Source organism: Homo sapiens, chromosome 2 (genome assembly GCF_000001405.40).
Source record: "Homo sapiens chromosome 2, GRCh38.p14 Primary Assembly".
Classification (NCBI taxonomy): Eukaryota; Metazoa; Chordata; class Mammalia; order Primates; family Hominidae; genus Homo; species Homo sapiens.
In genome coordinates, this window is record NC_000002.12 from 196,571,070 (window position 1) to 196,585,277 (window position 14,208).

At 37.0% G+C, this 14,208-nt stretch overlaps 1 protein-coding gene across 6 annotated transcripts in view; it reads right to left on the bottom strand.

Moving 5' to 3' along the window:
- Positions 1-14,208, bottom strand: part of HECW2 (HECT, C2 and WW domain containing E3 ubiquitin protein ligase 2) — a 399,483-nt gene that overhangs the window by 376,998 nt on the left and 8,277 nt on the right. The gene's annotated exons all lie outside the window — the stretch shown is intronic.

The following is a 14,208-nucleotide window of genomic DNA, read 5'->3' on the forward strand; positions in this document are numbered from 1 at the left end:
GAAATGCTGTGTTAATTGCTTATTCAAAAGAACTACAATACTTCTTACCCTTATACTCTTCCTTTACACAAAAATAATAACAAAGCACAGCAGTTTAAGGATTCAACTAGGAATCAGAAGTCAGATTACATTTAATTTTGTAATGTACTCATTTCCTAATCCCTGACATGGCTTTGTGTCATTTAAAATTGTTTAAACTTTATCACTTTAAACACAAGAGAACAAGTGAGGTAATGTCTAATGTTTGGGAATAAACAGCAAACAATACTTAGTTGTGTCTACTGAAGAATGTATCAAAAATAACAAAATCTGAGCAAATCATTAAGTCTACTGGCCTATTAAAAATTATCAAGTTGAGGCTGGGCGCAGTGGCTCACACCTCTAATCCCAGCACTTTCGGAGGCCAAGGTGGGTGGATCACTTGAGGTCAGGAGTTTGAGACCAGCCTGGCCAACATGGTGAAACCCCAAGTCTACTAAAAATACAAAAATTAGCCGGGTGTGCTGACAGTTACCTGTAATCCCACCTACTCAGGAGGCTGAGGCACGAAAGGCATGGGAAGCGGAGGTTGCAGTGAGCCGAGATCATGCTACTGCACTCCGGCCTGGGCAATGGGATGAGATTCTGTCTCAAAAAAAAAAATAAAAGAAAAATCAATTATCAACTTGGGTATTTCTGTAGATGCTTCCATACAAAGCAAAAATAAACCAATCATACACCCAAAAGAATTGAAAGCAAGGTCACAAAGAGATGTTTGTACACCTATGTTCATAGCAGCATTAATCACAATAGCTAAAAGGTAGAAGCAACCCAAGAATCCATCAAGGAATGAATGAATAAAAAATTGTGGTATATGCATACAGTGAAATATTTCAGTCTTACAAGGGAAGGAAATTCTGACACATACTACAACATGGAAGAATCTTGAGGGCATTATGTTAAGTGAAATAAGCCAGTCACAAAATGACAAATACTGTATGAGTCCACTTATATGAGGTAGCAAGAGCAATCAGATTCAGAAATTCAGAAACAAAAAGTAGCGTAGTGACTGCCAAGGACTGATGGAAGAGGGACACAGGGAGTTTTGTTTAATGGGTACAGGGTTTCAGAAGTTTTTGTTTTGTGTTTTTTGAGACAGGATTTCACTGTGTTGCCTAAGTTGGAGTGCAGTGGCATGATCTCGGCTCACTGTAACCTCCAGCTCTTGGACTCAAGCGATCTTCCCACCTCAGCCTCTCAAGTAGCTGGGATTATAGGTGTGTGCCACCATGCTTGGCTAATTTTTTAAATTTTTGTACAGACGAAGTCATACTGTATTGCCCAGGTTTGTCTCAAACTCATGGGCTCAGGCGATCTACTCACCTCAGCCTCCCAAAGTGCTAGGATTACAGGCATGAGCCACCATGCCCCAGAGTTTCAGTTTTGCAAGATGAAAGAGTTCTAGAGATTGGTTGCATAACAGTGTGAATGTACTTAACATTACTGAATTGTACATTTAAAAATAGTTTAAGATAGCAAATTTTATGGTATATGTTACAATAGACTAAATGTTTGTGCTTGCCCCCTCCAAATTCATGTTGAAACCCTACTCCCAATGTGATGGTATTTGGAGGTGGAGACTTTGGGAGGTAATTAGGTCACAAGGGTAGAGCCTTCATGACTGCGATTAGTATCCTTATAAGAAGTGGCCACAGAGTTAGCTAGCTCCCTTTTTGCCATGTGTCTACACAGCCACAAGACAGCTGTCTATAAGCCAGAAAGAGGGCCCTCACCAAGAACCCAACCCTGCTGGCACTCTGATCTTGGTTGTCCAACCTCCTGAACTGTGAGAAGTAAATATCTGTTATTTAAGCAACCCAGTTTATGGTATTCCGTTATAGCAGTCAGAGCTGACTAAGACGTGTATATTACCAAATTAAAAGTCTTTTAAAATCTACACATGGACTTTTCTTTAAGTATGTACCTATGGGAGAAGAGGGGTGGAAAAACAGATGACAAAGATGAGAAATGCGATAATACAAACCATGTTTCAAGATCTAAAAAAGAAAACAATCAAATAAAACATCAGGAGAGTGGCAGGCAGTTTTATAATTCAGTAAGAGGGGAAAACACTTTCAGAATGACCGAATAAAGACCCCCAGAAATTTGTTTCTCCATAAAAGCAATAAGAATGCTGACCAAAAAAAAAAAAAAAATGTCAAAATCAACTTTTTCACAACTCTGGAAATCAAAAATAGGCTTACAACATTATGAGGATGATTTACTCAAGAAAAATATCTAAGTCTCAATAAGGACAGTGTGCTTTATTTTTTTTAATTTTTTGCCCTATTTCCATCACTCTCTCCCCAGCATCACAGGACCCTTGAAAACCCAGATCCTTGTAGCCATGGTAACTATGGAAAACAGCACTCTGGCAGAGTGCATGGACAAGGGAGCAAACAGGTCTGGAGCTCCTCAAAAAGGCCCTAACCCAGAAAATTATCACTATATGACCTGGCAGTTAGCTGGAAAAGCCCTATTCTCAGGACTTGTCTTAATAGGACCTGACTCAGTGCCCACTCAATGGGAAAAGCCGTATCCCCACAGCATGTGTTGAAAACAATCAGCTGCAATTGCCGAACACTGCGGATGCCTCGGCAGCAATACCAGCTGTGGCAAACAAGAGGCTGGGGAAACAGAACAGTTCGACAAGAAAAAGAAATAAAAGGCATCCAACTCATAAATGAAGAAGTAAAATGATCTCTGTTTGCAGGTAACATAATAATATACATAGAAAACCCTACAGACTCAACAACAACAACAAAAAAAAAACAGTGAGAAATAATAAACAGCTAGACAGGATGGTGCATGCCTGTAATCCCTGCTACTTGGGAGACTGAGGCAAGAGGATTGCCTGAACCCAGGAGTTCAAGACCAGCCTGGGTAATACAGTGGGATCCCCATTTCAAAAAAAAAGTTCCAGGATACAAAATCAACATTATAAAATCACTGGTGTTTCTATACACAACCAACAAACTAGCCAAAAAGGAAATTAAGAGAATAATCCCATTTACAATAGCGACAAAAAACAAAATACTTGGCTAGGCATGGCGGCTCACGTCTGTAATCCCAGCACTTTGGGAGGCTGAGGCGGGCAGATCACTTGAGGTCAGGAGTTCAAAACCAGCCTGGCCAACATGGTGAAACCCCGTGTCCACTAAAAATACAAAAATTAGCTGGGCGTGGTGGTATGCACCCATAATCCCAGCTACTCAGGAGGCTGAGGCAGGAGAATTGCCTGAACTCAGGAGGCAGAGGTTGCGGTGAGCAGAGATAGCACCACTGCACTCCAGTGTGGGCGATAGAGTGAGACTCTGTCTCAAGAAGAAAAAAAAAAAGAATAAAATACTTAGGAATAAACCTAACCAAAGAGGTGAAAGACTTGTGCATCAAAAATTACAAAATATCAATGAAGAAAATTAAAGATACAGACAAATAAAAAGACATCCGTGTTCATGGATTGGAAGAATTAATAACATTAAAATGTCCACTCTACACAAAATGATCTACAGATTCAATGAAATTCCTATCAAAATTCCAATGGCATCCTTTACAGAAATTTTAAAATATCCTAAAAATTACACAGAACCACAGAACACTAATAGCTAAAGCAATCTTGAGCAAAAAGAGCAACACTAAAGGCACCACATTTCCTAATTTTAAAACATATTACCAAGTTACATTAATCAAAACAGTATGGTACCAGCATAAAAAACAGACATATAGCCTAACGGAACTGAATAAAAAGCCAAGAAATTAATCTACTCATTTACAGTCATCTGATCTTTGACAAGAATGCCAAGAACACATCACAGGGAAAGGATAGTCATTTAAATACATGGTGTTGGGAAAACTAAATATCCACATGCTGAGGTGAAAGGATTGCTGCTTGAGCCCAGGAGTTCAAGCTTACGGTGAGCTATGATCATACCACTATACTCCAGCCTGGGTAACAGAGCAAGGCCTTGTCTCAAAAAAAAAAAAAAAAAAAAAAAAAGGCAAAGATCCCGAACAGACATTTTGCAAAAAAAAAAATACAATTGGCCAACGTATGTATGAAAAAATGCTTAACATCACTAACCACCAGAGAAATGCAAATCAAAACCACAATAAGATATCACCTCACACTTTTTAGAATAGCTATTATCAAAAAGACAATATTGGCAAGAATTTGGAGAAAATGGAACTCTGGTACACTTAGTGAGAATGTAAACTGGTACAGTCATTGTGCAAAACAATATGGAAGTTCCTCAAGAAATTAAAAATAGAATTACCACATGATCTAACAATCTCATTTCTGGGTATATAACCCAAGGAAATGAAATTAGTATCTCAAAAAGACATCCGCACTCCCATGTTCAAAGCAGCATTATTCATAATATCCAAGGTATGGAAACAGTCAAATGTCCATCAGTACATGAATGAATAAAGAAAATATGGTGTATGTATATAGATATATACACACAGTCATGAGCCACATAATTACATTTAACATAGACAATGGGCTGCATAGATGACAGCTGTATTAGTCCATTTCGCATTGCTATAAAGGAATACATAAGACTGGGTAATTTATAAAGAAAATAAGTTTATTTAGCTCATGGTTCTGCAGGCTGTACAAATAGCACCAATATATGCTTGGCTTCTGGTGAGGTCTCAGGAAACTTTTACTCATGGTGGGAGGCTAAGCAGGAGCAGGCGTGTCACATGGCAAGAGGAAGCAAGAGAGCTGCCAAGCTCTTTTAAACAACCACCTCTTGCATGAACTAACAGAGCAATAACTCACTCATCACCAACGGGAGGGCACCAAGCCGTTTATGAGGGATCCACCCCCTCATAAATGAGTGGGACCCAAACCTCCCACTAGGCCCTATCTCCAACATTGGGGATCACATTTCAACATGAGATTTGGAGGGAACAAATATCTAAACTATATTAACGGTGGTCTCATAAGATTATAACACCATATTTTTACTATACCTTTTCAGTGTTTATATATGTTTAGATAGACAAATACTTACCATTGTGTTATAATTGTCTACAGTATTCAGTACAAACCTGCTGTACAGGTTTGTACCCCAAGAGCAATAAGCTATACCATATATACCATATAGCCTAAGTGTGTAGTAGGCTATACCATCTAAGTTTGTGTACATACATACTTTGATGTTCACACAATGACTAAATTGCCTAATGACACATTTCATAGAAATTATCCCCATCATTAAGTGATGCATGACTGTACATGTATGTACAATGAAATATTATTTAGTCTTAAAAAAGAAGGAAATCCTGCCATTTGTGACAACATGAATGAACCTGGAAGACATTATGCTAAGTGAAATAGTCCAGAAAGACAAGTACTGCATGATCTCACTTATATGTGGAATCGAAAACAGTCCAACTCAGACGCACAGAGTAGAATAGTGGTTGCCAGGAATTGGGAAGGTGGGGAAAATGGGGATATATTCGTCAAACATACAAAGTTTCAGTTATGCAAGATGAATAGGTTCAAGAAATCTAACATACCGCATGATATCTATAGTTGGCAACACTAATTGTATACTTCAAATTTGCTAAGATGATAGATCTTAAGTGTTCTCACCACAAAAAAAAGATAACCATGTGAGATAACAAATGTTAACAAGCATTGTGGTGATCATTTCACAATGTATACACATATCAAAACACCAAATTATACACATTATAAATATATAATTTCTATTTGTCAGTTATACCTCAATAAAGCTGGAAAAAGGTTTATTAGAAAAAAAGGAAATGGATGTAGAAATAAAAATAAACCATTGGATTCATCAGTCAATCCAGTTTTCAATCATCTAAGAATAAAAATGTTTTCCACTTATACAGGAAGGAAAATGGCTGAAGACTCTTCAACAAAGTTATGATACATCAAATATTTCAAAATGATGCAAATAACGGATTTTGTCAAGGCAAGTGTAAGAAGAAGGAAAAGAGATAATGATAGGCTAGAACTTATTAGGGACATATTTGAATCTCAGAATCAGTATTTACAAGGTGGATATGTTCCAGGTTCATATACACCACATGTCTCCACATGCAGCTGGTTGCATTCACAGAATGTTGCCCAATTGGAATATATATGCCTTCAAAACCAGAAAAATATAAGGAAAAAATTAGGTGTGCTGTGCTTAAGTTTCTATTATAACTTCTAATTATGTTGTTTTTCTACTATACCTTTATTTTTACTTTTGCAAATTAGTCATTTTATTAAAAAGTCATTTATTAAATTTTACTAAATATAATAATGTTAGTCATCTATTTAAGGCTTTGATATTAACAAAGAAAAAGGATCTATTAGACCTGATGTTGGGGGAAAGACTGGCAAAAAGAAAAAATTTAAAAGAAAGATCTGGGGAATGAGATGTCCATATAGGTCTTTGCAAAGCTCTGACGTATTCCTTAGACTCTAGAACGCCACATGTATTTACTCATACCCAAGACATACCTAAGAAGGCTCTAATCTCTGGCTCACCTTGAGGATGTGTGCAAGCAGTAAGTGAAGGCTAAGGCAGAATTGTCAACTGTCTTGCTGATTGTCGAAGGTATGCCCCCAACATGTACACAGAGCTCTCAGCAATGACTGAGATTTACTAGTCCAAGGCAATTAAGGAAATCTCTTTCAACCATCAGCTGACCACTAATATAACCAGACAGAGACTCCAGTAGCTACATATGACAAAGAATACAGACTACAGAATTCATTCTGAAGTCAATAAATAAACAACAACAACGAGCAACAATACCACATCCTCGAGAGGGAGGACAATCTATGTCACATTATCTTACTTGAAATGTCCACTTTTCAACAGACTTACAAGACATACAAATAAACAGTAAAGCATGGCCCATTCACAGGAAATAAAGCAGGCAATCAAAAAATCCTAGGTGTTGGACATACCAGACCAAGACTTTACATAGGCTATGTAATAGGTTCAAATTACTAAAGTAAATCATGTCTAAAGAATTAAAGTACAGTATAAAAATGATGCTTCACCAAAGAATATCAATATAAAGAAAAAAGCTTTAAAGGACCAAAAAGAAGATGTGGAGTGGAAAAATACAGTAATTGAAATGAATAATTCACTAGAGGGGTTCAATAGTAGATTTGAACAGGCATAAAAAAGAATCAGTGTACTTGAAGATATATCAACTGAGGTTATGCTGTCTTAGGAATAGAAAGAAAAAGAACAAAGAAAAATTAACAGAGCTTCAGAAACCTGTGAAACACCCACAAGCAAAGCAACATATGCACACTGGGAGTTCCAGGAAAAGAGGAAAGAAATTGAAAGGATATTTTTAAGATTAGTGGCCATACATTTCTTGAATTTGATGAAAACCATTAACCTATGTATCCAGGAGGCTCAAACAAACTCCAAACAGGATAAACTAAAAAAGATTCACACCAAGGTACATCATAGTCAAAATGTCAAAACACAAAGAGAGAAACGAAAGCAGTATGAAAAAAATATTCCAGCATGTACAGGGAACCTGAATAAAAATAACAGTTGATTTCTCATGAGAAACCAAGGATGCCAAAAGGCAGCAGTATAACAATTCAAAGTGCTGAAACAAAAGGTCAACCAAGACTTCTATAACTGGGAAAACTATCCTTCAAAAAATGAAGGCAAAATTAAGCCATTCTCAAATAAGCAAAACTTGAGAGAATCTGTCACCATCACATCCTACAAGAAATACTAAAAGGAGTCCTTGAGGCTGAAATAAAAACAACACCAAACATTAACTCAAAGCCACACAGAAATAGAGTATTGGTAAAGCTATCTACACAGAGAAGATAAATATATTTATATTTATAACCCTTTCTTTTTATCTAATTTAAATGACAATTGCATAAAGCAATTATTTAAAAAGTGTAGTCACGGGTTTATAATGTATAAAGATGTAATCTGTATTACAATGAGAGCAAAGTGAAGTATTGGAGTGAAGTTTTATATACTTCTGAATTTAAGTTGATTAATCTGAACTAGGTTGTTTTAAGTAAAGAAGTTAATTGTAATCCCCAGAGCAACTACTAAGAAAATAACTCAAAAAATATCATAACAGTATCATCAGGAATTATGGAGTAAACACCTATGAAAATCTCCTCCTCCAGAAAAATATCAACAAGAGAATTAAAATGGTACACTGGAAAATATATATTTAACACAAGATAAGACAGTAATGGAACTCAGGAACTCTTCTACAAGACAAGTAGAAGACATGTAGAAAACAAACAGGAAAGAGACAGACATAAATGCTACTTGATTATCAGTAATTACATTAAATGTTTAAGTAAATTAAACAATCCAGTCAAATGGCAGAAATTGGCAGAAAATACTTTTTAAGTGATCCAACTATATGCTGTCTACAAGAGATACTGTATAATCAGAGATAAAAATAGAATAAAAATTTTAAGTCGAAAAATATATATACCATGTGTTATGGGATGAATTGCCCTCCTACAAAAACACTTCATATATTGAAGTACTAACCCCAAGTAGTTCAAAATGTAACTAAATTTGGAGATACAACCGGTAAGAAGTAATTAAGTTAAAATGAGGCCATTAGTATAGACCTTAATCTAATCTGACAGGTGTCCTTATAAGAAGAGGAAATTCTGACACACAGATAGACACCAGGGACATACATGCACAGAGGAAAGCCTATATGAGAACACAGCAAGAAGGTGACCACCTGAAGCCAAGGAGAGAAGCCTCAGAAGAAACCAAACTTGCCAACACCTTGATCTTATACTTCCAGCCTCCAGAATTGCAAGAAAATAAATTTCTGTTGTGTAAGTCACCCAGAGTGTGGTATTTTCTATGACAGCCCTAGCAAACCAATACAACATGATAACAGCAACCAAAAAAAGAGTTGGAGTGATAATATTAGTATCAGACAAAATAGACTTTAAGACAAAAATTGTTACTTAAGACAAAGAAGGATATTCTGTAATGATAAAAGGATCAATTGAAAAGGAAAACATAATGATTATAAACATATATGCACTTAACAACAAGGCAGCAAAATACATGGGCAAAAACTGACAAAGCTAAAGGGAGAAATGGACAACAATAGTCAGAGACATCAATATCCCACTTCTCCTCATGGATAAAACAACTAAAGATCAACAAGGACAGTTATAACACCAAAAGCACAAGGAACCATTTTTAAAAAGGTGAGTTGGATTTCATTAAATTTATAAACTTTTCTGCTTCAAAAGACACTATCAATAAAGTGAAAAAACAATCTACAAAACAGAAGAAAATATTTGCAAGGCATATATCTCTTAAGGGTCTAGTATCCATAATACAAGGAAGTCTTAAAACTCAACAATAAAAAGACAACTCTATTTTTTAAATTAGCAAAGAATTTGAATAGACAATTCCTCAAAGAAGATAGTTAAATAACCAATAAGCACATGAAAAAATGTTCAACATCATTAGTCATCATGGAAATACAAACGAAAACCTTAATGAAACACAACTTCACACCCGCTACAATGGCAAAAAAAAAAAAAAAAGTGGGAAAGAGGTGGAGAAACTGGAGCTCTCATACATCGATTAGAATATAAAATGTTGCACCTACTTTCTGTTAATCAGGTCCTCAAAACACAGATTTACCATATGGCCCACAATTTTACTCCTATATATATGCAAAAGAACTAAAAACATACATCCACACAAAAACTTTTACATAAATGTTCATAGCAGCATTATTCATAATAGCCGAAAAATGAGACCATCCTCATTGTCCATCAACTGATGGATGGATAAACAAAATGAACAAAACTCATGCAGTGAAATATTTGGTCATTTAAAGGAGTGAAGTAGTGACACATGCTACAACATGCATAAACCTTAAAAATATTATGCTAAGTGAAAGATGCAGTCACAAAAGACTTCATATTATATGATTTCATTCATACAAAATGTCCAGAATAGGCAAATCTAGAGTAGTGGTTAATAAGAGTTTGGGAGCAGGAAAAACGGGAAATAACTACTAATGGGTATGTAGTTTCTATTTAGAGGTGATGAAAAGGTTCAGGAATTAGATAGTGGTGATGGTTGCATACTGTTGTGAATGTACTAAAAAGTACTGAATTGACTGGGCATGATGGGTCACACCTGTAATTCCAGCACTTTGGGAGGCCAAGACAGGAGAATCACTTGAGGTCAGGAGTTCAAGACCAGCCTGGCCAACACGGCAAAACCCCATCTCTACTAAAAATACAAAAATAGCTGGGCATGGTGGCATGTGCCTGTAGTCCCAGCTACTCAGGAGGCTGAGGCATGAGAATCACTTGAACCTGGGAGGCAGACATTGCAGTGAGCTGAGATCACACCACTGAACTCCAGCCTGGACGATACAGTGAGACTCTATCTCAAAAAAATAAAAAATAAAAGATAAAAATAATAAGTACTGAATTATACACCTTAACATTGTGAATTTTACGGTATGTGAATTATACCTCAATAAAGCTGTTTTTTAAAATTTAGTTAGGAAAATGAACACCTACAGATAGACTTCCAAGATAGAAAATAAACTTTATTTTGTCTTATAATCAGTTCAGGTCAAGAAACATTCATTGATTTGGACTATGATAGATGCTAGGGATGTAAAGATAAATAAACCATGGACAGGCGCGGTGGCTCATGCCTGTAATCCCAGCACTCTGTGAGGACAAGGCAGGTGGATCACGAGGTCAGGAGATTGAGACCATCCTGGCTAACACGGTGAAACCCTATCTCTACTAAAAATACAAAAAATTAGCCGGGAGTGGTGGTGGGAGCCTGTAGTCCCAGCTACTCAGGAGGCTGAGGCAAGAGAATGATGTGAACCCAGGAGGCGGAGCTTGCAGTGAGCTGAGATTGTGCCACTGCACTCCAGCCTGGGTGACATAGTGAGACTCCATCTCGAAAAATAATAATAATAATAATAATAATAAATTATCCTTACCCTGAAGAAATTTAGTCTTTAACAAATACAATAAGTAGCAAATCATTAGGAAGAATTTTGGTTTCTTCACCTGGTTTTCACTCTCAAAATATGTAATTTTACCACAACAAACTTCAATTGAAAATCCAGCAAAATTCAATTTCGGTAGCCACCAAATTCAATAACCAGATGCTGAAGATAAACTAACTCAAATTCTAGCTACGGTTACACTTCTCTTCTAGCACAAGAAGGTTCCAGCTATGGTCCAGCATCCTTGCCCTGACTGCCTTGTTGCAGTGTGTGATCCTAGCTTGAGGATGCCAAGTAGTTTCTGTTTCTGTATCTCCTTGCCCTTGCCTCAACACCTGCTTACTGTTTTTACAAAACCTGGATTTTATTCCTTTAGGCACCTAACCCTTTCTTCAAACACCACTGAGGTTCTTCAGATTATCACAGATTTTAAATCAGGCCATCAAAGCATATACAGCTCCCTTCTTTTACGTCTTTTTATTTCATTTTCTTGGTAGAGATCCATAACACCTGTGTCTGGTGCCCTGCACTGAAGAAGCCAGGTATCAAAACCACCTCATACATTCAGTTGATCCAGAACAGGTACTGCGAACCAGACACAGACACCACAACAGCACGTGAATTTCGTTTGGCATGAGCTGTTCTGAAAACAGTATACTTAACCAACAAATTACACCCAAGAGATGTTTTACATACAAACTTACATGTAATTAAGTTTAGCTTCACTTGAAAAATCTGAAGATTTGGCCATGGTGGGTCCAAATTCCCATGTGGCAACAATAAGGTGAGCCAAGTGGGGACACTGCCTTTCCTTTTGATGAAGTGTGTCTCTCCATGATCCTCACCACTCCACAAGGCTACCATGCACAACACATCCAGCTGGTTTCATTTGTGACCTGTTGGCTCTGGAGGTATTGGAGTTTGAGACAAGTCCATGTTCAGGGAGTTAGAAGTTGTGTCCAATCATAAAGTGATCTCTTGGTTTAGGGTCGTATTGCCATGCTCCTCTACTTATGACAACCTCTCCTAGTTTCTCATGCCAACAACTGCTTCTTCTTCCTGTAATCACCAATCCTAAATATCACCTACATACCTGAACTACCCCAGGGAACTCCTGCAGAGGTATCTTCTGGCCTGGCAAGCTCCTATATGAAGTAGCAAAATTCCAGATCACATGGCAGAAGGCACTGAGGATCTCATCCACAGACTGATGAAATCTTCATTTCCACACTTACTTCTCTTTGAAGATAAATACTCCTAAATTTCTGAGTTCTGATGATTTAAAATGATGTTTCTCAAACTTTACTGTGCATCCAACATATGTGAGGATCTTTTAAAAATGCAGATTCAAATTCAATAAGTCTGGTGTGGTGCCTGAGATTCTGCATTTCCAACAAGCTCCCTGGTGATCCTGATGCTGCCTGGACTGTGGACCACACTTTGAATAGCAAGGAGTTAGAAGACTTACGAAGGAAGAAAGTTCTGAGATGAGAGTTATCTGAATGAACTAGGCCTCCAAGACTTGACTTTCTGACATTTTAAAAGTCCAAAATGTTAATCTTTTAGTATCCTGTGTCAATTAATATCTGATCTATATAAATAACAACCCTTCATAATGGTCCATGAAGAAGAAATAGATGGTTCCTTTAGCCATTAGGCATTGGTTATTGAATATTCACTATGTGATCAATACTGGGCATTACACAGGGGCATCTGCCAAGTTTCCATATATTTAGAGTGCTTAAAATCTAGGTGGCAAGAAGACTAATGGAAAACAATAACTAGTGTACCACCTAAAACAGCAGATGATTAAGATTTTAATTGCTACAAACGAGTGATTCCCAAGAGGGTAGCATATCAGCATCTGGGTGGAAGGCTAAACACACTGTCTCCCAACTCCTCCTATAAGATACTTACTCCACCCTTACTCTTACTGTCAATCACTGACAAGGGAAACTACACTGAATTCCAGGAATGGCATATTCTTCAGAAGGATGAGGTGGGAAAAATGACAAAAACCACTGTTTTTAAATTGCATACAGAAGGGCAATGGAGACCTGGGGCCTGAAAGAGTAAGTAGAAGTGGTGGGCATTCCAGGTGGGAGTTGCTTCCTGTGGTAAAAGTACTGAGGTGGAGATGAGTCTAGGGTATTTATGGGACAGGAAGAAGACCTGTCTAATTAAAGTAAACTAGAGTGTCCCACTCACCATCACCCTATTTTTAGTGGAGGAAGCATGGAAACTATCTCCTAAAAACCTGATGACCACCTGTTAAAAACACTGAAGAGATATTTCTTTACAGAAAGGCTAAACTAGTTTACCTCTCAGATCCTTTCCAATTTTTCCTCAAGTGCAGAACAAAATTCTGATTCTTCTCCAACCCATAATTCTAAATTGAATCACTTGTCTTGCCTGCTGTTGACCATGGCAGACAAGTGAAGAGAATGTGGATGTGTAAAACTCCCTATAAATTAAAAAAAAAAAAACCTAAATCACTGCATTAGGTTAAGCATTCCATTGCTGCTTAGCATCCCCAGTTCTCTAAGACTGTTCTCATAGGGCTATTTTCAACTCTGTCATCAATCATCTTTGTTACTCTTCCCTGAACCCTTTCCAAATTATCCTCATCCTTCTTATATAGGCAAGTGATGAATTACACTTCAGGTTTTCCCTGAGCACTCCATCTAAAGGAAGTCTCAGTTACACAACATTCTCTGCCAAAGCCCACCTCGACAAAGCACTTAATGTACTTCCAACTAGGTTTTTTCATTTGTTGCTTATGAAATATTTAAAATATACATTTAGAAGTTCATATTGTTAAGAAGTTAATATAACAGTAGCCCATATACCAAATATTACTTCCTTAATTTATGGTCAATGTGGACATCTAACTCTCTAATAAAAAAAATTCATAGTCTAAGATTGTGGCATATGGTTTTACTTGCTAATAATTTTCCCTTCCTTGTTTGTCTTTGCCATGATTCACTGTGGCCTAAGTATATTACTGAGGTATACCATACATACCAACGCCCAGATTTAACAAACATTAATATTTTTGCCTTGTTTTGCAATTATATACTTATTTATTTATTCATATATGTGTGGCCTGTTTTCCATTAGATTCTGTCTTATCTGGACAGAGCCATGTCTGATTATTAACCT